Raw genomic sequence first — 26,456 nt, forward strand, 5'->3', positions numbered from 1 at the left:
GCTTTTGTGTTTTTTTTGTGTTTTTTTTTTTTGTTTTTTTGCCCTTTTTTCCTTAGCCTAGAGTACAAGGAGTCAATACTCATTAAATGAAATTTCTTAGATATGCTTAACGTCTTGCTTCAAGTTGTTTTATAAGTTAATCTTTTGGGTAAGTTAGAGTGCTTAAGTTGATGTAGAAAGTTAAGGAAAAAAATACTCCTTTAGGGAACTGAGTTATTAAACTGTCTTGGTGATTTAAAACAATAATTAAGGATTCTTAAAACCTGATGGAAGCTAATGGTCATTTCTTTTCCCCCATAGATTGGTATACAAATCATATTAATTTTGGTAGCATTTTTATCTGATTCCACAACACAGTTGAGCAATTGAACATAAGCTATCATATACATTCATATAATTATATTTTCATAATATATGTCACATGTTTCAAATGTTTACTAAGTATCTATCTGGGGGCATTGCAATGCTGTTAAGTAATTGGTTGACTCCGAAAGTTTGTAAAAGTAATGGTTCATAAAGCAGACAATTAAAATAAAACTTTTAATCACTACAACATTCAGCCTCCCATGTCTTGATGTTAGGGCGAAGGCTTTTTCTAAGTATGTGTCTACTGGTTTAAGCTTAGCATCTTTGCTTTTCTTTTTTTTTTAATTAGCCACACCTGTAACTATCAGCTTTTTTTTTCTTTTAAAAGACACTAGCGAAGGAATCCGTATGCAGATTCTTTATAAATACAATAATAAACCCTTGCCCTGGGAATCTCTTGCAGTTTTCTTGTCTATATGATTCAGTTTCTTTTTTTATGCTTTAAAAAACAACTTACCTTTTGGAGTTTCTTCAAAGCATTCAACTACATTTTAATAGAAACTACAATTATCTTTCATTTCCATAATCATATATCACTGGTTTACATAATATTTAAGTAAATTACATAATTAGCATAAGAACAACTGACGTAAACAAATCTATTATCCCAACTGAGTACTGTAAAGTGCACAACTCAGCTGGCAGTTGCAGCAGAGTGTAGGTTTCCTTGAGCTTGGCCTGGTGGCTGTGTCCCTTTCACTGTGCAGTGGGCCTCTTTGGTGTGTTCCTGCCAGGCAGTGTGGTGGCAGCCAGTTGGCTAAGAGGAGTTAGATTAAGGAAGTGATTCCTTTAGGAGGTAACAGTATTAGAAATGAGAGTCAGTCATAACCATATTTTTTAGGGACTCTCATGGAAGGGTAACAAATATATGTGTGTGTGTGTGTCTGTGTATGATACATATATATATTTATAAACAATATTTGTTTGTATATTTCTATATAAAACCTCTAGCCGTGAATTCTATAATAGCTGTGCAACCTTTAGGAACTGATACAATCTCTCTGAAGTTTAACTTCCTCCCCTGGTATAATGAGGTTGATGACAATAACCTGACTTCTATGCCAATCCCGAAAGAGTTTATAAGCTGAAAAACAATCACTGTTTTTATGTCAAGTGAAATGGGAAGTAGATAGACTGGTTATTTTCATCCAAGAGCACATCAGACTATTGAATTCGGTTGAAATATTGGAGCTGGTTTGTTACCTAGCTTGAGGGATCTTTCATCACAATGAAAGATTATTGTTCTTATATGCCCTTGGGTTTTTCTTATATTCCTCTCTGATATCCTGGCACACACAATAAAATATAGTGTGGAGTCCTACCTCAAATCACCTTGGAAGTTGAACCACAAACTGGAGGTCATCATTTCTCATTCTTTGCTTGGAAGGTGTTTTTTAAAGCCTATTTCCAGCATATGTTTATCAAAGAGAGGAGCTGAAATTTGGGAGAAAATGAGTGAGATTCCTGAATGATCTGGAAATCTGAAATCTAAACATTCTTGATAAAGCAAAATATGTCCTAGGTGCCCTTTTGTGCCATCCCTACACTAATTGTCATTGGGTCTTTAGATTTTGGAGAGAATTTGTGTGAAAATAGGCATGTCTGCACTGCATTCCCTTGGCCACTTAGCAGTTACTGTGAATTAGATTCTCAAGAATTAATAGGTTGATTGTATCCATCAAGGAGCTCTTTTAAAGATACTGTTTGGATTTGTACTTTGGGGAACTTTAATATTAGCATTTTGGAAATATATTTCTTCAAATCTGTGTTTGTTGGAAATCTCATCCTGAATTATATCTTAAAGTATTACTTTTTGTTGTTATAAGCTTTTATTTCTCAAGACAGGTTGGTGATTGTACATAAATCATAGATTGCCATTCCTGGGCCTAAAAAGGGATCAGTCAGAAGCAAACCTACAAACTGAATTCAGAATTAAGTTTAATAATGGAAGTTTAGCAGCTTCCAGTGCTAAGATTTTGTCTTTGAGGCCTTTTCCTGGAAGTGATAGTGTGTATCATGGATGCAATATAGGCCATACGAACATTTTTTTAAAGAAAAGGTCAGCTGAATCCATGCAACTACTTTAGCATTAGTATGTTACAGCCAGGGTTATGGGAATAGAATTTTTATGCTAAACGTTTGATAAGAATTCTTAAATATATCAGCCTTCCTCCTCAGATACCTTCCTATGACTACATGCAACCTCTGGCATGATTTCCTGTGAATTGCCAGGGAGCTAGAAATCCACTAAAAGAGAAAGCCACACCCTCATCATCATCAGATTTTCTTCATTTTTGTAGCTTGAATTTTACTTTTAGTAATGTAGAAGGATTAGTCACAGATAATCAGTCTTGGAAGGGGCTTAAGAATTTAAGTAATAATAAAAACGACAGCTGCCATATGTGGAGGGTTACCGTGTGCCTGGGCATGTAGCACTGTACATTCTTCGTGTTATTTATTTTTGAAATAAGGATTGAAAAACAATCATATCTAGGCCTGCAGCCTAGGTTTGATTATCTCACTGATAGAGTTAATCAAGCTGGGCTTAGGATATATAATTTGCCTAGGACTTGCAGAAATTGTTTGGATAATCAAGAAGACTGGAGGAGTGTTTTACAGGTAATCTCTCCCCACCTCAGTCTTACTTACCTAATTCACTGTTATAGTGTCACTATATCCATTTGTACATTGCTTCTGTCAAGCACTTCACACACAGATAGTGGCATTTGCCACTGTAAACTCCATAAATAGCTCACCTGCACTGTACCTGTTCTTTGCTCTGATATGGAGGAATCTAACTAGAGAAATTGCCTGGGTTTTCTGTCTAAGGAGAAATTCAGATGTTTCGGTAAAAGATAAAGAATATGTTGTTCTGAATGTTGTCTTCTTGTTTATTTTTTAAGTTTTGTTGATATGTAATTGATATGCAATGTGCTCTCCATACACATCCTTGGGTTCTGCATCTGTGGATTTAAGCAACCAGGGATCAAAAATATATTTAAAAATAAAAACAACAACACAACAATTAAAAATACAAATAAGAAACAAGTATAGTATAACAACTATTTACATAGCATTTACACTGCTTGTAAGTTCTCTAGTGATGACTGAAACTATATGGGAGGCTATCCTTAGGTTATATGCAAATACCAGGCCATTTTATGTAAAAGACATGGGCATCCTAGGATTTTGATATCCTGGGGGAGAGGAATCCTGGAACTATTCCCCCCTGGAATACCAAAGGATGACTGTACAAAAAATTGTACATATTTAATGTGTACATATCGATGAGTTTGGACATGCATATACCTATTAATGCTGTCACCACAGTCAGGGTACTAAACATATCCATCACCTCCAAAAATTTCCTTGTGTTCTCTTGTGGTTTTAATTTTGTTTAGGTAGAACATTTAACATGAAATCTATCTTCTTTTTTAAGTATGCAGTATTATATTGTTAACTAAGTACTATGTTGTACAACGGATCTCTAGAACTTATTCCTCTTGCATAACTAAATCTTTGTACCCATTGAGCAACAGTTCCCTACCTCTAAACTTCTGTTCCTTGATCTTTTTAACTCTCTATTTTCTCTTATGGCTGCTTGTAGGTGATTCAATGTAACAATGACAGAAAACAGTTACAGACTTTATTCCTCTGCTTCCTAAAATCCAGTCAAAATTGCCTTCTCTGCCCATTCCAAGCTTACTTTTGGTTACAATAGTGACTGCAGTGTATGCTGAGACTGATCAATGGAAAAGTGTCAGGGAACATTTGGAATGATAGCCTTTTAGTTCTGTAGACACTAAAGTACTGACTCTACCAAATCAATGATGGGAGTTGGAGCTGCATGCAATGCCTGCTGCAGAACATCTGAATTCCATCTTGGAGCCACACTGCGAAGTACCCATCACTGATTATCTACCAGTTCTAAGAAGGGGAACATTGGTGAGACCTTGATATTCTGCCGGGGGTACTACAAACTAGACCCAATCATTGCTTACTTGCTTGACATTTTTGTTTGCCAAGTGTTCTTTTAGCTAGAAGAAAAAAATTCTCTTTTGGTTAAAGTAAAAGATAGTTGAGATTGTTACTTTTACAAACTTATAAAAATAAAATGGAAATAGATCAAGTTCTAAGATCACGTGACACTCATTTGAATAGCCATGCTGAAGGATAGGAATACTGTAGTGTCAGAAAGATTGTATTGTCAACATCCTGTAAGACTGTAAATGAATCCCATAAACTAACAATGACAGTTGTGCTCATTGTTAGTCTATGAGGGGGGCCACTGGGGTTGTTTGCCCAAATTTATTGTTAGACCAAAGCTTTTTTCAGCATGGTGGAAAAATCTAGAGACACCAGAATTTTTTAAAAAATGGGCTGTAGAAATGTTTATATTAAATGATAGCTTGACTGAATTCTATTTCATTGACTTTTCAGTATGATACTCTCTGTTTCTGGATTAAAAAACTAACACATTTCGGGTGTGGGGGAGGTAGAGCATCAGGATAAATAGCTAATGCACGCGGGGCTTAATACATAGGTGATGGGTTGATAGGTGCAGCAAACCACCATGGCACACGTTTACCTATGTAACAAATCTGTACGTCCTGCACATGTATCCCAGAACTTAAATAAAATTAAAAAACAAAAACAAAAACTTCTGACAAATGCCCACTCCATGCCGAGCAGGTACAGTTGGTAGCACTTCTGTCTTAACCAAATGAAAGCTGCCTTGGTTAACAGGTATTAGTTATATTAGCTCCCAAACCTGTTTATGCTGATTGTTTTTGTTACTGTAATTGGGTAATGCATTTAAGTATTCTATAAATCTGTGAATTGTGGTTTCTATTAAAACGAAGTTCATTACATTGGATATAATCCATAAACATAAGTCACTTTAAAAAAAGTGCTTCTTCTACTTGACAAAGTTGTGAGAAGTTTAACGAGAATATATTTATATATCCATAAGAAATTTGCACTTGTATTGTTTCACATGTTAAGATTTTATTCCACAATAAACTAAACTGGAAAAATCACATTATACATTATGGGTATGGTTTTTCATAAGAAGGACAACAGATGTTTACTCAGAGAAAAGCCTTGAGCTCTATAACCAAATATTTGGCAAGTGAATGTGCATTTGTATGTTTTAAGTTAAAATAATAAGTAAAATAAATTTTGTTTACCCATGTGATAGATATTACAAAGCTATTAAATTTTGTTGTACTAATTTTAAAGCTTTCGGGAAATGTTTGGTATATAATTTTTATCTAAAACTTTGGGTAGAAAATTATATAAGATATCCATGATATTAAGCTTTACTGGTCACTAGATTTAATATATAGTAACTGTATTCAAAGGAAGTATACCAAATTGTTCATGGTAGTTCTTTCTGGATTTTGGAATAGGGATGCTGTTTAATTTATTGTACTTTTTTGTATTATCTAAGTTTTAGTTATTGTTCATGAATTATCTTTTTTTCTAATTAGAAGTTGTTATACTTTTGAAAAATGTAAAGAATATACTCCATGAATCAGTTCAATTATTGGTCTTGGTTCTGTGAAGATTGTTTTTTCTTTATGTCTAAAGAGTTTGTTTCTTAATTGGTGGTGTCAGCATTAAAATGTTGATGGAGTTGGGTTGCTGCTGTGAAATGCAGATGTGTAGAAGTGCAAATGCATTTCCATTTGCTCATGGGAAATAATGCCTTATTGAAGGCAGAGTTTCTTACTCTGGGCCTTTGATGATTAGCCTTGACTTTATAAGGGTATAGAAGATGGGAGTTTAATGAGATACTTAATGGCTCTTCCAGTCTGCAGATGTTAGACAGTCTTAGTAGTATTGCTATACAAGGATATAGCCAACAGAAATCAATAAGTTATATACACATATTAATCAACTATCTGATCTATTCCAAGGATCAAATGAAAAGAGAACACAAAGGCTAATTGACAGTGCTGAGTACTAGAAAGGAGATGTTTGGTCAAACATGAATGGGTGGGATAACCAGTTCAAAGGTTTACTGGATGCTATAAGCCTCTCCCAGAATCATAAGATATTTATTCTTATATTAATTTTCAGTGGCTGGAACATAGACAGACTCCAGAGTCCATAGGAGAGTGGTGATTTGTAGGGCACATGACCCATAAGTTTGGTGATGAGTTGTGCTCAAAGTCCTTCAAATAGTTCACAAATGCAATGTTGGTCCAAAAGAGCCAGAACAAATATATGATTCTATTTATATACTGTGTAACAATTAGAAGTCAAGATGGTGATTATCTTTGGGGAGGAGGGGCAGGTAGTGAATGGAAGGGGACCCAGGTGTAGGTTTTCCTGTATTGATAATATTGTGCTGCTTGATATGGGTGCTGGTTACATGAGTGAGTTCACTTCATCAAAATTTAGTAACTTCTATACTTTTGATTTGTGCACTTTTTGTATACATCAATACTAACTTGAAAAAATAAGAGAAAACTTCAGGAACATTCCTTTGGCCTTTACCACTTCATGCAACCAGGGTGGTGGCCTGAGTTTATAGGTTTTTCCATGTACAGAGACTGGATGGTAGCTCTGAAAGTTTGTTGTTGGTGTCTCACAGTCCAGCAGATGCAAAGAGGGTCTTCCTGGCTTCAGCATTTTCCTTTGTTCTCAGGATCCCCTCTTAGTGAGACTTCATGCAAACACCCACATTCCCTTTTGACGTAAGCCTTTCTGAGTGGACACCTTGTATTTATATTCAATAAAACCCTATTTCACTCATATCAGGAGTGTTCCTGATATAACACATTGCGACACTTTTCACATATCTTAACACATGTAAAACCCCACTTGTATCCTGAGAATGGCATTATTACAGTTCTGCAAACATTAAAGTGTGATATACACAAGAAAGATAATTCATCATCTGCATCTGTGGTTTTTGTTGAGAAGATCAGAAGATATGCACCAAAGAATCATTAAGTGCTGAAATGTGTGATTCCAAATGAAAAGCATATGAGGCCATTTCAGAAAGTAGTGCTTAGAGGGAGAAAGGTAGTTTCAAGGGAGAATTTCCTTAGGCAGAGTAATAGAGAAGGGAGGCCCAGGGAGGGAAAGGTCATTAATAAAGGTAGAAGTTTGCATGTACCCACCTATATGGGAGCCAGTGAGGGTTCTGACCTGGTAGACAGACGGCCTCACCTTTTCCTTGGAGCAGCGCCTGATTAAGGAGGGAGGGTTTTGGAGGACACAGCTTGATTCTATGTTAAGCCACAGTCAGAATGGGTTGCAAGGAAGTGATACAATATCTGTGGTATTTTCAGAAGGTGCGAGGTTTCCAGGATGACTTGGAGAGAGGAATGAGCAGCGAATTTTAAAGATTCTCTAAGGCTAACTTGTTCCAAATCATTTAAAGATATTGTCTCTGATTTGTGCTGGATATATTTAAGTATTGACTTCATTCCAATGCCTCTTCAAAGCGCTGCAAGAAGCAATAGAATTGGCATGTTTTAAGGATGTTTAGTTTATCCATAGTCGCATCAACAAAGCCCTAGATTTAACCCAAAATAACAGCTTTCAAATACCTAAAAATTTGCAAGTAGAGATACAAGAAGAATAACAAGAAGGAACTCTTGATTTCACTGCCTCACCTAAATTAACCTCTTACTGTCTTTAGGTTTTTCAGAGGCAAAAACTCCTTTATGAATTGATTGCCACATCACCCTTCTGGTTCCATCTGAGGTCTTCTTTGCAGAAGCCACTCAGCACCTTTTGGAATTGAATGCTGACATCGCATCAGATTCAAAAGGAATGCTGCTGTTGATTCCTTTCTGTACTCATCACATGGTGAGGAATATGCTGGGAGTCTGTATAAGATGAGGCTCTTGCACGGCCTGCCAGAGAGTGCCTGTCATGGACTGGAGAACTGCATCCGTTCATTTACATATCGGCAGCTAAAATTAGTGGAGTCACCCACGTTTTTCACCCTAAAGAAGAACCTTCAGATAAGAATCCAGTTCATCACTCTCGCCTGCTCAGGCTTACTTGGTTGCTCCTTGTTACCAGACAGAGGGGCTATAGCGCTGTGTAAGAGCAAATGTTAAATTAGTATTAATAGCCAATGGCATCTCTCTTCTATTTTTCACTGATCAGGTAATTTTCACTGATGTCAACATTTATAATACATCAGCTGACATATACAAGTGTTATTTGCTTGGAATATTTTTAGTTTATCTATTTTATTGACTTAGATAAAGATATATTTTTTAAAGTTATTTGTTCAGGTCTTTTTGTATTTGATCAGAAGAGGTTTTTGAAAGGAAGGCGAAGCTGTAGATCAGGGTTTTAACAAAATGAGCATCAAATCCAAATCTGTGTTTCTCCTTCATCACTGAGTTTTGTAAGCTTCTAAATGACCTTTTGTGGTACCACACTGATGCTCATCTTGCATTGTGAGAGGCTCTGAGTAATTTATGATAAATAATGAAATGCTGTTTCCTCCAATACACTGCAAATGGCTGAGTCTTGTAAAAGTCTAAGGAGCTCTATTACTTCTAAATGACTAGATAACACAAAAATGTTAACCCTAAAGAGAAAAGGTCAAGTAGACCACGTGCTTGTGAGCCACAGTCCTTCTGCCTGGTGCCTTCTGACAGGCTTTCTGCATCTGAACTCTGCAGGGACTGGCACCTGAAACATTACTTTCTAGAATGGCAAGGAAGGGTTTAAGCCTTTCGGCTACTTGGATTGGCTAGAAGCAATAGTGGTTTGTTTGGAGTGGGGAAGGGAGAAACTTGCCGAATCCATTTAACATTTGAAACCCTAAATTAATTTTTAAAAAAAATCTGTTACCAGTGGTAAGAATTTTGTGATGCTAGGAAACAACAATTTAAGTATTTTATTTGAGCACTGATATAAAAAGAAATATTAAAAAGCAAGCAGAGTAATGTTAATCTGTAGGAAACTATAGAAAGCTGACATCTTTTCAAAATTAACCTTTGCCATGATGTTTGCACTCTCTTGCTCATATCCACGTATACAAAAATAAATACATAGTGAACATATTCAGTCTACAACTCTCAGCTCCCTGGTATTCCACAGTGTATTCCTACCATTGGAAAATACTGTCCACAGTGAATATGTGTGTTCTCATCCTGATTGCTGTAAAATAACTGCATATCTAAGTGTTAGGGTTTGAAGACTTTAATTGCTAGCTACAGAGTGTCTTTATGTATTGCACTTCCATTTTGAAAATTGAATTAAATTGCCGGTCAGTGAACTCTTTATAATGACAGGAGAGTGTCTATGCAAGCAAGCCATTGAGCAGAGTGATCTTTGGCCAGTGATACTTTTAAACTCAGACACTTTGCTGAAGTTTGCCACTGAATTTTCTCACATTTCCCCAGATGTTATTACATTGCCAAATGAAATCATCTGTTCCCCCTAGTAGAACTGCCTCCTTTCCTCCAGATATCAGCTACAAGGTATGAAATGAATTGCATAAAAATAAATCACACATGCTGCATTTTGGGAAGAGTACTCTTGCTGATCCATTAATTTCTTTTCACTGCTGAGTTGGGAAGTCCACTTTAATCTTCAATTATCAGTAACGTGCAATTGGATGAACCTCTTGACCTTTCCAAAATAGAGATGCTTTCATGCCAGGAAATTTGAGCTCTTTGAACATTTGAGAATATTTTTGCTTTTGATGAAAAAGGTTTGTTGTCATGTGCCGTGGGAGAAAGAGATTGAAAGAAGGAAGGTTATTCCCAAAGGCCTGTTTGATGATTGGACTATATGGCTCTATTCCTGACCATGTACTCTCTGTAAGGTTTGGCATGGACAGCAATGTGCTGTTGGCAATATGGCGCACTTTAAGGTATTTAAGCATGGACTCAGGAGTTTGTAGATTATCCAGGCTTGTTACCTCATCTCCATATGCCTAGTCTACCACTTCCACTTAGATGCTCTGCCATGTTGCAAACTGAACAGAAGACCCTGATGAACACAAGGAAGATGAGGGAGGTGATTTCCATGGAGACTGTGGAGAGGCTGGAGGGTCTTGTCTTAGGGAAGTTTATCATTCCTTTGCGCAATCTTGGTATTTGTGACGTTTCTTTTCTTCTTTGCTTCTGTGGAAAGTTGGAAATAAGATAATTGGGATAGTGGTTTTTGAAAGGGGGAAAAGTAATTAAGACACAGTGGGATGCCCCTGCCTAGTTTGGGAATGCAGGCTCAGCTCTGCTCCTCAATTGTTTGAGACCCCAGGGTAAACTACTTGATCTCTAGAATTTCAGGCTCTTCTGTAAATGAGGCTGTTGGACAAGATGTGGCAAAGATTCCAGGAGGCCAGGGTTTTAAATTTGAGATTAGAATCTTAGTGGAATTTTTTGAATTATGGTTTCTCTGGCTCGCTCTCTCCCTACCTCCCTTCCTCTGTCTCGCTCTGTCCACACACATATAAACACACACAGATGAAGATTTTGTTTTTGTTTGGTTAGTGTATTTTATGTTGGACATTTGTCAGTTTGGCATTTAATAATATCCATGTTTCAATGTGATACATACGTGGGACTTGGTTAAGTCCTAAAGTCAGATGAACTTTGCTTGTTTACAACTTTAAAAAAGAATTCCATCCCCTTCTTCTGGGAGATGTAGAGCTTGGTAGCCAGCTATAGGTGTGCTATTGCCAAGTGTGTGTGTCTCTTTGTGTGTGTATGTCTGTGCATTATACACACACTTTATGTAAATATATACATATATGTAGGGGTATATATATATACATATTCCAAAAATATATATATACATATTCCAAAAATAAGGGTATGAGGAGCCCTGGAGGAATTGCGGGCACACACAAAATATTTTATTTGAAAGTATAAATAAATTCATCCAATTCTAGATATGATATCTCACCCCCTTAAGTAAATGGAACTCTTACTTGCTGAATTTTACAAAGAGTGTTACAAGAAGAACAGAGGGCTAAAAAATGGTATTCCTAGGGCCCTATTGTAAATATACCTCAACGAAAGGCAATATTTCCTGTTACGTTGGTTGGCAAGGGGATTTTGATATCAGAATGTGGCTCCATCTTTCACATTAGAACATAGCTGTACGTGGAGATAGAGAGTAGATGAATGGTTGCCAGAGACTGAGAAGGGTAGTGAGGGGTTACAGGAGAGGTAGGGATGGTTGATGGGTACACAAAAATAGAAAGAACGAGTAAGAGCTAGTATTTACTAGCATAACAGGGTGACTGTAGTCAAAAATAAGTTAATCGTACATTTAAAAATAACTAAAAGAATATAATTGGGTTGTTGGTAACACAAAGGATAAATGCTTGAGGTGATGGATACTCCATTTACCCTGCTGTGATTATGACTCATTCCATGACTGTATCAAATTATCTCATGTAATCCATAAATATATGCACCTACTCTGTAGCAACAAAAATTAAAAATTAAAAGAACACAGCTCTGAGCTGCGACAGTCAGTGACATTTAATTCAAACTCAAAGTGGCTAGTTTATCATTTTTTTCCACTTGCTTTTCTTATTATTAAACAGAGGATTTTCACTATAGGAAATTAGAAAATATAAGTAATAAACGGAAAGTAAAAGTCAAGTGTAGTTCTACCACCCAGAGATAATTACTCTTCTCTTTCTGTTCAATATTAGTCCAGTTTTTTTGCTTTAGGAATATGTATTTGCAAAATGAAGTTGTACTCTAACACAATTTTAGCTAGGTTTTTGCACTTCATGTTACAATATTTTTCTGTCAAAACACCTATAACCCTATATTTAATGGTTCTGTGATGATGTATATTTACATATTAAAACATAATGAGTGTATCTCTTCTTGAGAATTTATTTTGCTTCGAGTTCGTCATTATTATATAAAATTATGCCCTGAACATCCGCAGTATGGAATGGACTTTTTTTTTGCTAATACATATGCAAAAAAGCTTACTTTTTTAAATGTGAAATTTCTAAATTCACATCCAGGATGACTGAGCAGTTCATATACTTGTTGATTAGTGTCAAAATGCTGATCCTCCCGTAAATCCCCTGATCGTCGTAGGTGTTTGCATTTCATTAGCAGCAAAACAAATTAACAAAATTTTTGCTAGCCATATAGTTTTAAAAGAGTATCTTCTTGGTTTTTATCTTGCATTTCTCTAATTAGAAATGAGAAATCATTAGTTAGTAAATATCATTAGTTAACTACTACTGTGGAAGGCAGAGTTCATGGTGGAGGCTAGTGAGCCTGTTCTGTCTTCATGGGCTGTGTGTCAGATGCCTCTCTGAGGGCTTCACCGCAGGCAGTGATGTGGTAAGGCAGAGCCAAGGCCTTAGAAGTTCTAAAACTTCCCAGTATAATTTAGTAACAAAAGATTTTTTTCCTGAAACTCAAGAACAGTGTTGTAGATAGAGAGTGGGTCACATGGAGTCCCCAGGTAACGTGTGAAGCTATCTCTATCAGTCAGCTAAGGCTGCTGTAACAAAATGCCACAGACTGCATGGACTATGCATGGAAATTTATTTTCTGGCTGGGTGTCGTGGCTCAGGCCTGTAATCCCAGCAGTTTGGGAGACCGAGGCAGGCAGATCACTTGAGGTTAGGAGTTTAAGACCAACCTGATCAACATGGCCAAATCCCGTCTCCACTAAAAATACAAAAATTAGCTGGGCATGGTGGTTTGTGCCTGTAGTCCCAGCTCCTCATGAGACTGAGGCAGGAGAATCGCTTGAACCCAGGAGGCAGAGGTTGCAGTGAGCCAAGATCACACCACTGCACTCCAGCCTGGACTCTGTCTCAAAAAAGGAAAGAAAGAAAGAAAGAAAATAATTTATTTTTATTTTCTAACATTTCTGGAGACTGGAAGTCCAAGATCAAGAGTCTGCAGCAGAGTTTGTTTCTTCTGAGGCCTCTCTCCTTGGCTTGCAGATGGCCACCTTATCACTGTATCCTCACATGGACCCATCCTAAGAGCTTAATTTTAAATTAATCACCACCAAATACAGTCACCTTTTGAGGCACTAGAGTTTACGGCCTCGACATATGAATGGGGGGACACAATTCAGTTCATAATAGGAGCAGAAACACACGCACTAATCAAACATAAAATAATTTAAAACAGTCTAGAGGTCTTAAATTGTGCCTCTCTCTGAGTGTAGACAGTGCATGGAGACTGCCCTCCCCGCTGCTACCCCACATCCTGAGCGTTCTGTCCTCGTTTCCACTGTTCTGCTCCATTGTGTGGGAGGAGCTGGAGAAGAGACTCTGTTTCCAAGGAAGTGTGGCCTATGCTGCTCTGCACCTGGGCCTTGCGACAGCCGCTGCCTCCAACCACCACAAGTCTACTGCTGTTCCCACTAATAAGTACCATGGAAACCCAGTGCATGCCAGGGGCTGTGGAGAGGTGGGTGAACATCAAATCACCAGTGACACTGGCTTTTCAAACGTCACATCATAAAAATAGAGCCACCTGAGTAAGAGCGGGCCACAGCGGCATCCTGTAGCTCCCTGTTTTTTGGCATCTACTTCCCTTGGGCTCACAGTCTTCTCCATGACCAGCAGGAAGACTCAGCACTGCAACTATCTGCACGGGTTGGTCGGGCTACACATGCCTTTCCCTAGCATATTGCTAACACTCAAACCAGAAACTGATTAATTTGATTTGGGTTAAAAAATCTGACCCCATGAAGGCTTTGCTGATCATTGACAAATCTATCCTTCAAGCATTACAGTTTTAAGATAGAGGGATGCTGCCTTAGTCTCTGCCTTTTTTGCCATTAAAAAACCTTGAAAATGTTATATCATAGATAGATACATTCTAATAACAGCCCCAAAACTGATAGATCTGCATACTCAGATTATTGATCCCAATACTCTCAGCAGTTTTAAGCCCCGCCCCTGCCCAAAGGGAACCCCTACCAATTTAATTCAGGAGGCTTTTGGATTTCATTTAATGTGGATGTTATCTTGTTTTGTTTCTCACTATCTGATGCTATTACCATCTTAATTAGGTTGAAAATCAGCAATTAGAATCAGAATGCCTGTAATAGTTGTTTTTCTTTTGATCATAGTTATACTCTTAATGATGAGATTATGATGTGTGTGTGTCCACGTGTGCATGTCCATGCGTGGGAGTGTGTGTTGTAGGAAGAGCAGTGGATGTTAAGTCAGGAAGATAAGCTTGAATGTGAGTTTTGCTTCTTCTAAGATACCTGAACTTGCTGGAGTGAGCCTCCAGGAGCCCCAGGGTCCTCATTCGCAAAAAGTGAGGGAATGGCTGTTCCTTAGATTAGGCTGCTTTGAAATCCATAGATATCAAACCATCTTATAAACCAAGGTGCTGCACAGATTAATAACTGACACATTGGAAGCCGAGGAGTGTTTAGATATGTGGGAACTGGGGGCACATTGAAATCATTACTAGAGGGTAAATGTTATTTATTCTATGAGCTAATTGCGGGATTTAAATTTGGGAGCTAAATTTTATCTTAAATGTTAAATATTGTACGTAGGAACTGGTCTTTGGGGGGACAAATTCAAGCTAGTAAGGACTGTTAGAGAGGAGAATGATGCTGTGAAAATTTAAATCCCACAATGTTGTTTACTAGAAAGATATCCATTTCCAGGCATCTGGACATGAATTTCTCAGCCTTTGAGAAAAGCCAACTTAACCAGCATGCCCTTTCGATATGATTGCTCCGGAAGCGTGGGATGCTCAGTTTGAAACTGAGTTGTATGTCAATCTCTGATATCTCAATTTCTGACACACTGAACACAAGCAGGAGAAGAGATGTACCTCTAAAGAGTGAAGAACTCTCTCTCTCACTTTCTCGCCATCCTATCTCGTGCCATTTCTCTTTAGGTTGATTGTTTTTAAGAACTGGTGCTCAGTGCTTAGTAAAGAATACTTTTCTGAAGCATTTCTCCCAAAGTGTATCTTGATAGATTCTGCAAACTATTAAGTAAGATTTCATATGCTGAGATGGTGTAAGGTGATTTATATTTTTGGAGAAAGCTAAAATTCATCTTACTGACTTTTCAATCTCTCCTTATTTTCCTCTTTTCCATATAGATATTTAGAAAAGCAAAGTATATTAGTAGATTTAATCTCCAGAGGATGAGAATCTAGGGCTTTTTTTTTTTTTGGTTTTCTTTAAAGATTGTATGATAAAAAATGTTTATTATGGCTTAAGGGGGAATGAAGGTATTCAGATAAGTTAATTACATGAACAAGCATGCCTGATTCCTCTTCCACACAGCCTGTCTCAAGATCCTTCATTCGTCAACTATTTCTTAAGCACCTACTACTTGCCAGATGCTGTTTTAGGCACCCAGCTCCAGAGCTGCAATAATGATGGAGATTTTCTCAAACCCAACACCCCTGGAGCTTACATTCCCGTGGAGAAGTTAGATAGGAACAGGTATACAAGTAAGATAATTTCAGCTATTGAGACATGCTGAACAGGGTTAGGATAAAAAGTTTGAATTTATATAGGTGTTCGGGAGGCCACAGCTGAGGTCATGGTAGTTGAAATGAGTTCAAATTAGAAGAAGCCAGAAACGGCAATACCTGAAACAGAAGGGTATCAGAAAGAGAAAAATGGAAGTTCAAGGCCCTCGAGGGACTGAAAAATGGCCAGCGTGCCTGAGCATAATAAACATGCTAAGGAGTGGTAGGAAGTGAAATGGGAGAGGTAGAAAAGGTCAGGCACATAAGGAACTTGGACTTGATTTTGTTGTAATGGAAAACCACAGGGACCTAGGTAGGGGAAGGTGTTGATATGCTGTATGTTTTTAAAAAGCCACTCTGGATGCTGTGTGGAACTGCACTCTTGAAAGCTACACCTGGAGACAAGAAGCTAAGTGAGAAGGCCACTGTGAGATCCTGGCAGCTTAGACTAGAGAGTGGAGACATAGTAGGAATGTGTCCTGGAAGGTGGGAAAGAGGACTTAGATTGAAGGAAAAACAGGAATGAATAAATCAAGACTCCCTCCTAGGTTCCCGTCCTCAATAAGAGGAGGGATGATACCATTATTAACTGGGATCTGGAGGGTAGAGCAATGAGTTGGATTGGGTGGGGGGATGGGGCGAGGGATAAAAGAGTGGTTTTAAGCATCTGGCATTCTCCATGCTTGTTAGGTGTGCAAGTGAACCTTTTGAGAAGGTAATTGGATATTGTGTGGAAGGGAGGGAATAGACATCTATTGAAAGAACAAATGATATTTAAAAGGGTGGTGGTGCAGGGAAGTGGATGTGGAGACCCACATCAGCACTGAAAACCAGTGATGGGATTATGCACACCATATAGACTGGGAAGTGACAGGGAAATTCTTGTAGATGTAGTGCAGTGGGGATGTTACTATCTCTAGTTTTTAATCCAGCGTGCATTTTTAATCACATGGGGGAGATACAAAAATAATATACCCATGCCCCAGGCCCCACTGCCCCACTGTAGACCAATCAGTCTCTTTTTTAGAGGGAAGGGTAATGGCAGGCCTCAGTAGTTTTTATAAAGTTCCCCAGGTTATTCTAACATGTGGCCAGGGTTGTGGGCAGCTGGATTAGAAGAAAGGAAGGGATGGCCTGCTAATCCTGTTAGGAGGGTGGCCCCTGGAACTAGGAAGTGGAAGTACCTCAGTGCAACCTCACACTCATTCTTTGGAGAAGAAAAAGGAAGAAAGTGAGGGGGAAGCCAAGTGTTTGAGCAGTGGAGATGGGAATCACAAGACCCCTGCCAGCAAGAGCCTTTATTCATTCAGCATGGTTGTCACATCAGGGGAAGAGCACATTCTGGCCCCTAAAGACGACAATGGTTGAAGAAAAGGTAAAGGACAACTTCCCAGATAGCTCCTCAGTGACAGCCACGTGCTGGAAATTCTTCAGCCTGAGGTGAGGCTGTCCCTGCAACTGTCAGACTCAGATCCCTCTCATCTCCAGGGTTGGCTGAATCTACTATCTGGGCAAAATTATGTGCAGACAATCTAAATGTTTACTCTCTATGACAGTTTGTCAGTAATTTTTAGTATGGGACCCAGGGTTATTAAAGGCAGGGTGACATGGGCTGCAGTATGACTTGATGTAAAATATTTCAGCATGCATTCTTATCTTTGACCATTAATTCCACTTTTAGGCCTTTGTCCAAAATAAATAAATAATACGTGTTTGAAGAGTTTTTTTTTTTTTGTACAAGGGAGAAATACTTGAAATATTTGAAAAGATTTGCTGACATGCATTTTCTACTGTGTAGGCATTGTAAATCATTTCTTTAAAATCAGAGCATGAGAAAACATATACCATGTAAGGTGAACTTGGAAAAACAGGTTTAAAGTTATGTATAACTGTGGTTATACAGGAAGATTTCAGAAAACAAACATTGGTAATAAATACACCAAATTGTTAAAAGCAGCTCTTGCTGAGTGATTGGATTATGGTCAACTTTAATTTTCTTAAATTTTTCATTTACATTTTATTTTATCTCATTTTAAATTTCCTTAGGTTTTCAGGCAGCTCAGATATCCCACAGTTTTAGTAAGAACACATATTGAAATAGTATTTTAAAAGAGATTGATTAATAAGGTCTTAATTTTAGATGAGTTTAGTTATGCATTTTTAAAACTCCGATTCTCCAAATTTGGAATAATGGTTTCTGCCTCTCAGAGCTGTTACAAGAATTAAATGAGATAACCAGTGGGGAACCATGCTGTGCAATCCCTGATCCATGTTACAATTTCTTTAGTATTTTTGCACTATTGCCTCTGCTTCTACCAAGGAACTTTATCCCATGGAAGTGCTACCTTTCACCTAACATTTTGTTAGTTTACGTGAAATAGTCAACAGATATGAAGATAGTTTCATTATTTATGCTGATTGAAATGCTGATCATTGGTGCAAACCGGCATCCCAGCAGGATGAGCTGTGATTGGGTGAAACATCCATCATGATTCCATTTCTCTTTGCCAGTGACTGGCTTGGGGTTGGGCATTGTCCTCACCCAGGAGAGGTAAGGGGGAATGTGCTGGTGGCAGCAGGGAAGGATTTCATGTCCTAATTAAAAGAGAGAAAGCTCCTGGAGAGTGTGTGTGTTCTGACCTGTACTTACTCTCTTTCAATGGGACCTTGGTGCCTGGAGCTACTGAAGCTGCCCTGGGACCATGAAGCTACAGGCCTGAAGATGAAGGGCCTGGCCCCTGTTGACTCCGTGGAGCTGCCAAAGCAACTGGAGGCTGTCCACCTTTAGGCATCTTGTTGAGTAAACACTCGGGCGAAGTCTGTGGGCCTCTGATAGTTGAATGTTTGTCATACACAGTCAGCAGCAGTGCAGTTGACACTACCTGTGGAAGTTGACATCTGGTTCCCAAAAACAAATAGAAAGGTTGGTGGGAGGAGAATCTGCTGTGTGTTTACATATTTTAAACATGTATGGCACCCTAGGTTTTTCTTTCTTTTTTTTTTTTTCTTTTTATTTTGATGGAATTTTGCTCTTGTCGCCCAGGCTAGAATCTCCGCCTCCCGTGTCCAAATGATTCTCCGCCTCAGCCTCCCAAGTAGCTGGGATTGCAGGCGCCTGCCACCATGCCTGGCTAATTTTTTTGTATTTTTAGTAGAGATGGGGTTTCACCATGTTGTCCAGGCTGGTCTCCAACACCTGACCTCAGGTGATCCACCCGCCTTGGCCTCCCAAAGTGTGGGATTACAGGCATGAGCCAATGCGCCTGGCCGGTTTTTAACGCACACTTCTTATAAGTGCCTAGCGGGATTACAGGCATGAGCCAATGCGCCTGGCCGGTTTTTAACGCACACTTCTTATAAGTGCCTAGCTAACTTGGCAAAATAATTTCATTTGGTATTCATACAAATTTACTACTTTAAATTACTCCAGAAATTAAGCCAAATGAATTTTGGAGAGTCTGAGAATCTTAAACAAATACGTTGTGAATTACAAGTTTGCAGAACTCCATATCCAGTGTCATGTCCTGAGATTTAGATTCGCATATCAGCAAGGCTACTGCTAATGACGCTGGGGTTTTCAGGTGGACACTGATTGCCACAGTCACTGAAAATTTCATTTAGCTGAATTCCTGGAAAATGCTTAAGATATTTACATTTTGATAATATAGAAATCAAGAGTTAAGCTAATCTAAAATTTGTTTGTATGTTTTATAGGTATGATTTACCCAATTTTGCTGTCCTGAGAGGAAATATTACAAATGATAGCTAGGTTTCTTAGATAATTGGAGAAAGTGCTGTGTAAACATCAAAATATTCAGGGCATTTGTTATTATTTATGCAGAAATATAGCCAAAATACTGGCATATTTTCAGTTAGCAATATAATAGTAATAATAGAAAGTAAAACATTTTAAAAGAGGTTTTTCTGGAAATTTTTTCCTCAGGATCACAAAAAGTTTTTATTTTTCATAAGTATTTCAGTGATATAATGAGCACAAGATACGTTTTGATGAAAAGTAATGTTTACATGAAAAAGGAAATGCTTATTGATATTTAAAGACAATTCCCTACTCTCTCTCCTTTTCCACATGGTGAAGTCGGGAGCTCCAGATAGAAATCCAAAGAGAGAGAAAGACAGGGGCAGGGAAGGTACAGTGTGGAATAATGTGGACTGTCTCACATGACACTTAAGAGGTCATGTGATGCTAGTGACTTTGCTGATGTGTCAAGGCTAGGGCTGAGAGGCTGTGTCCAGCACTGTCATCTCCACTACCTGAGGCAGAAGCAGAACTGCAGCCGGGGCCTCCCTGTGCTTCCAGCACTGAAAGTAAAGTGAACAAGGGTTATGTGGTCAACATGTGTGATTTCTTATAGGGAATTTTGGTTTTGTATTACTAAAATACATAGGGTCTGGTGCAATGACTCATACCTATAATTCCAGTGCTTTTGGGAGGAAAAGGCAGGAGGATGTCTTGAGTCCAGGAGTTTGAAACTAGCCTAGGCAACATAGCGAGATGCCGTCTCTACAAAAATGAAAAAAATTTGTCTGAGCGTGGTGGCATGCTCCTATAGTCCCTATTACTTAGGAGGCTGAGGCGGGAGGATTGCTTGAGCCTAGGAGTTTGAGGCTACAGTGATACCGATTGCATCACTGCATTCCAGCCTAGGCAACAGAGCAAGACTCCATCTCTAAAAAAGAAAAGTAAAATAAAATACATAGCTTATGTATCTGAAAACCTTCACCATTGGATAGTAAAAATTCAATTTATTATAAGATCTTAAACAGAATCCTTGAGAAACTTAAATATAGTTAACTCTAAGGTTATGAGGAGAGATTGTGGGACTTGGAGGAAAGGTTAGTCTGTACCCCAAATCACATGATTTTTATAGAAAGAACACAAAGGATGGTTACCTGTGGGCACATTCTGGACCACTTACATGTTTACTTAACAACAGTTCCAGCAGTTCTCTAGTGTGTGTATGTGTGTGCGTGTGAGTGTGTTCACTTTATAAGCAGGTAACTTCCTGCCTATATAAGGTAACTTTCACGGATTTCAGACAGTGTAATTGTAGTTACTGGGTAGAAGAGGTCTTTCATGAAATTTGCAAGGGGATCTCTGCGTATTTTGTGAGTTTCCTCATTGTTCTCTCTATAATTAACCTCACAGGGCAGAGGATAGTTTCTTTTCTTATAGATCCATATCACAGGCATGATTCTCCAGCTGAATTCCTGAGCTCAAGATTTCCTTTCTAAATAAAGGAAAGGGAAAGAGGATTTTCTCGAGGTAATGGACAAGAGTTGGGAAAAGTGGTTGCAGATATGCTTGATGCTAAGGAAGCCCTGGTGTATGGACTGTTATGTGTTCCCTCATCCCCTAAATTTCTGTGTTAAAATCCTAACCCCATATGCTGGTATTAGGAGGCAGGGGCCTTTGGGATGTAATTAGGTCATGAGGGTGGAGCCTTCCTGATGAAATTGATGTCCTTAGAAGAAGAGAGAGGAGAGGGCTTGCTTTTTCCTTTCTCTGCTCTTGGGCATTTGAGGATACGGGAGCAGGGGATGTCTGTAAGCCAGGAAGGTGGCCCTCATGAAATAGACCTGCCAGGGCCTCGATCTTGGACTTCCCTGCCTATAGAATAATGAGAAATAAATGTGTGTTGTTTCAGCCGCCTAGTTCATGGTATATTTGTTATAGCATCCTGCACTAAGACACCTGGCTTGCAGAGTGAGGTGCCTTATAAGAAGGTAGGATACGTGGTTTACACACAGGTAGCCACAGGGTGCAGGGTGCATCTGTAAGTCAAGTGGTTACAACCTCTGCCTCTCTAGGATTAAAATCTTTGGCACTGGAGCGAATTTTATGATCCATCTTCCTGAAGGAAACCAATAAAAATAATAGTAAAATTGACAACTAACTACACTGTATTGAGCATTTCCTAAGTACTTGTCATGGGTTGTAAACAACATCTCACTCAGTTCTCAGTACAGTTTGATGGGACAGGTACTATTATCTCCATTTCACTGAAAAAAAAGGAAACCTGAAGTGAACGATAATTAAGTTTCGGGCCCAAGTTCTCCCTTCTTATGATATGATGGTTAGGTTTTGTAACCAGGGTTATGATTTAAAAATCTCTGTTCCATTTCCCCCCATGAACTCTTCACTTATACTCTAAAATATCTCAAAAGATGCTTGTACTACATGTAATATGGCATGCGAGGAAATGGATTTTTTAAAAAATTTTTTAGAGACTCAGAGGCCGGGTGCTTCAGGCTCATTTTTACCACCTGACCCGCGGGTACACAGCATGTAATTGTATCTCAAAATCATTTCCAGATATGTTGGAAAGAGCAATAGGACCAGCTGTGTTTCTCATAAAAGATTAGGCACAAGTCATGTATGAGGTTTTTCTCTACTCTGACTTGTGAAAGTCCAAGCAGTGGGTTAACATGATAAAGGAAAACAAAATTAAATAAGCTGGTGTAAGCATAACACAACTGACTTCCAGAAGGGAGATAAATGTTGCATAGAGACATCATATCCAGCCAAATTGTTGCCTCTGGTATTTCCATTTGGCTAATAGTGCTTAATATTGGTTGAAAAATAAAAGTATGCCGAGAACTCGTATATCATATGGTCAGCATTGCATGGTTTCGAACACTCCAGTGAACCCATCTGGAGAGTTTCAGCCACCAGGGCCTGACAGCCTCATTAGCTGCCTCCACAAGGCCTTGCCCAAGCAACAGTACAAATTGCTGTTGTTTCAGGGCGATGGTGCAGAGTTAAAGAAAACAAACATGTTCAACTGTTTTGTGTTTTCCATGTTAAAACCTAAAGATGGAAACCTAATTATTCAGAGATTCCAGCAGAACACTGAGCCCTCACTCTAAATTTTTACAGCAGTTATCAATGTGCTTAAGAAATGTGAATCAGGAAAGTGAGTCACATGCTCAACATGGTAAACATGTATATATCCACCTTCAAGACTTCAGAGTGTGTATATATATATATATATATATATTTTTTTTTTTTGTTTGTTTGTTTGTTTTGGAGACGAAGTTTCACTCTTGTCACCCAGGCTGGAGTGCAATGATGCGATCTCAGCTCCCTGCAACCTCTGCTGCCTGGGTTCAAGCAATTCTGCTGTCTCAGCCTCCCTAGTAGCTGGGATTACAGGCATGCAACACCATGCCTGGCTAATTTTTGTATTTTTAGTAGAGGTGGGATTTCACCATGTTGGCTAGGTTGGTTTTGAACTCCTGACCTCAAGTCATCTGCCCGCCTCAGCCTCCCAAACTGCTGGGATTATAGGTGTGAGCCACCATGCCTGGCCCAGAGTATATCTTAATAAATTATTATCACAAATTTGCATCCTCATGGAATCTGAGTTTGGAGGAAATCTGATGAGCTCCCAGTTTAATTATCATCCCTGGTATAAATCTCTTGACTGTTCCCAGACAGAAAGGGTTGCTTAGTCTCTGCTTGGACTCCTTCAATGCTAAGATCTCCTTAGACTTTACCTTTTGATTCCAGATGGCGCTAATCATTGAATTACTGTCTCATTAGTCAAATTCCACCTTCTACGCCTGTTCTTAATTCTACCATCTGGGGCCAAAATAAGGAGCCTGTCCATGTTCCAGCAGACTTTTACCAGGTGAGGACTTCAGTCGTATTTTCACTGGGCCTTTTCATTTCTCAGATAAATCAGCAATCTTTTGTTTCTATGGCAGGGTTTCATGTTCCCTGCAGCATTCTGGTTGTTCTCCTTAGGAGTACAGTTGTTTATCCCAAACTCCCAAACCGCCTCCTTTGTAAAGAACTGTGATCATTGGCAAGTAATCTCCTCTCAGCCCATGTTTCCTCTTCTGTAAAATCAGGATATCATGGTACCTGCCTCAGAGGGTTGCTGTGAGAATGAAAAGAGATGCAGTGAGTTGAAACACAGTACCCAGCAAGCAGTAAGTGCTGAAAAAAATAAGAGCTTCTCTTACCAAAGTATCTCTTAATTCTTAATCCCAGTACTAAATACCAGGCGTCCAGAACAGGACCATCCTGACCCTTTCATGCAGTCTCCTCCTCCTCCCGGCTTCATATAATTCATGAATTTAGCATCATGCTCTGCTATCTAACTGTATCAAAAAAGGAAAGGGCTTTCATTTGGCTGGATCCATGGTTCATGAGTCCACATTTGCCTTAAGTGATCACTGTTTCCAATTTTTATACACTTACAAACCACTCTTCGTTTTTTTCCTTAGTTCATGGATTCTGTCATCTTCCCCTTGTGGAAAATCACAACCTTCTTCATGTCTTCAGAGTTTTTTGGCAGCTTTTCCCACTCTCCAGGTTTCCCATTCCTCTAGGTTTGTAGAACGTGTTCTAACCTGCAAAGCCTCTGGCTACCTGGATATGTTATTTTTTGGACCACAGACCTGAGTTACAGGGTTGAGTTGGGAAGTTCTCTATTACCGGGCATTTTTTTCTGGCCTTCCCACAGACCATAGAATCAGAGAGGAGTTGAAAAACAATATTTTCTTTTATATCTTTTAGTGTCGTTTATATAGCCAAAGCAGGAGACAGAAAAACACCCTTGGGCAATTCAATAGAACATAACTTGAGAGACCTGGACCTCTGATTAGTCTTGTACTTTTGTCATAATTTTTGGTTCCTTCTGGAAGTTAAGGCCGTTTCCTACTCTGTTTTTACAGGCCATTACTGGCAATCAGCATGCAGTTTAACTGTGCCCAGTTTTTGTGTTTTCTTCATGTCCTTTGAAAATCAGCCCTCACACTATGGCTAGATTGAATGCATTCTGTGCATGCATTCTATTCTGCTCTACCCTGGTATTGTTTGTGTTTTTTGCATAATTGGAATTTGCCTTCTTAAGAGGTTTCCAAATCTCTTGGGCCATCTTTATTAGAGGAAGCAGCACTGTACAAATGTAAATAGACTTTAAATATTTCTTTAGCCCTACAGTTTATAATGTTGTTTGGTCATGTTTCTTTTTAAAGACTTCGGGATTAGAGTAATATGTCTTAGGGGCAAGGAGACTCTTCTAGGTATTCTTTGTCTTAGTGACTTTATTAAAAGGGTACCTTGTTGTAATGTACTTACCTCACAAAGTTTTTGTAAGAATTTAATGGCTGTTGCAATTAACACGTAACTGGGTGTTACAGAACACCCAGAGTAGTGCCAGGCATGTGTTCATGGAGTGTTGGCTACTACTGCTGTTCTTATCATCATCATCATCATCATCATCATGTTCATTGGAAACGAAAATTTCAGTTTCAAAGAAAAAAAACAGACCCTGCTCTTCAATACAGTATGCAGCCAAATGTTCGTTTCCCAGATGCTCTCATTTTGTCCTGAATCACAATTGTTATTTCAATGAAGAGCTCCTCCTTCATTCAATTGCTATTGTTGTGAATACTATTTTAAATAGAGTGCTTGGAGAAGGCCTTTCTAAGGATGTAGCATTTGAGAAATTTCTGAGAAAGCCAAGAAACTATCTGCAGGGCATGTAGGTGAGACGGGGAAGAGCATGGGCAGTGACCATGCCATGGGAGTATGTTTGTCCTGTGCAGAAACAGCATGGCGTCCAATGTGACATAGAGTGGAGCGAAGTGGGCTGGCAAGAATATGTTGCCACGTGAGGTCTGAGAAGTAGCCAGGGTGGGGTTACAATAAGAACTTTGAATTTATTCTGTGAGAGATGGGAAAAAATTAGAAACTGCTGAGCAGGAGTGTGGTTGGCTTGTGTAGAAAATAGACGAGATGGAGGCAGGAGTGGAAGCAAGGAGAACGTTTGCAAAGTTATCACAGTGGTCTTGGTGAAAGATGCTATTAGCATGGCCTGGAGTGGGAGCAAAGGAGCGGGTGTGAGGAGTTCTGATTTCAAAGATATTTTGAAGATAGTGTAGAGCAGTGAGGGTCTAGAGGATTAGTCAGAGAGAGAAATCAAGTAGAACTGGAGAGTTCTTTGTTTATTTGTTTACCTGTGCAAACCAGCTACTTTTGGAGAGAGAAGTACTAGAGTAGGAGAGGTTTGGAGTGGGGAAGTCAGTCCTTTGTTAAATTTGAGATGCCTGTTAGACTTCCAGTAATATATGTGATCTTAGGAAAAATAGCACCATTTGAAGACTTTTCTAGCTTCCATTTGTTACCTGTGTCACACCTGATCTGTTTCTAGGAGGATGTCAATTATTTAGGAGAAGAAAACCACCAACTAAAAATTTAAACAAAACAAGTAATAGACTTGGTTTCAAAATCATGATCTGCTTCTTTTAAGAGTTATAGGGGACCTGCATCCACTGCCTAAATGAAAACACAGTCCCTTCCAAATATACATTTGATTAATTAGAAGCTCAAAGCTCTGTTTTTACTGCTTTAAGAGAAAAAAATTATCACCACATTATAGTGGCAATTTCTCTGATGGAAACTGAAATAGTGGATGATGATGATGATGATGGAAATTTCAGAGTAGCACACACCTTATTGAGTGATTACATTTTAAAATATATGTGTATTCATTTATTCATATAATCGTTTTTAATGAGAGCACTCTCTTAATTACATTATGACACTGACTTGGTAAAAGAGAAAAAAGATCTCTACTGAAACTATCCCTAAAGGAGCTGATGTTATGGAAA

General features: G+C 38.7%; 1 protein-coding gene across 24 annotated transcripts in view, besides 1 other annotated feature; it reads left to right on the plus strand.

Moving 5' to 3' along the window:
• Positions 1-26,456, plus strand: part of NRG3 (neuregulin 3) — a 1,111,986-nt gene that overhangs the window by 5,973 nt on the left and 1,079,557 nt on the right. Inside the window, exon 2 of one of the 24 annotated variants that reach the window (NR_163253.1) lies at positions 8,024-8,499. The exons of the other annotated variants lie outside the window; for them this stretch is intronic. The gene's annotated coding sequence lies outside the window, so the exon portion shown is untranslated. The remainder of the gene's footprint in view (positions 1-8,023; positions 8,500-26,456) is intronic. 24 annotated transcript variants of the gene reach the window in all.
• Positions 710-1,270: an enhancer, noted in NCBI's record as "NANOG hESC enhancer chr10:83641632-83642192 (GRCh37/hg19 assembly coordinates)". NCBI's record gives its function as "activates a minimal SCP1, AML or CMV promoter by ChIP-STARR-seq in primed H9 embryonic stem cells {active_cell/tissue: H9 hESC(primed)}" and the evidence as "EXISTENCE:reporter gene assay evidence [ECO:0000049][PMID:30033119]".

Source organism: Homo sapiens, chromosome 10 (assembly GCF_000001405.40).
Source record: "Homo sapiens chromosome 10, GRCh38.p14 Primary Assembly".
Classification (NCBI taxonomy): domain Eukaryota; kingdom Metazoa; phylum Chordata; class Mammalia; order Primates; family Hominidae; genus Homo; species Homo sapiens.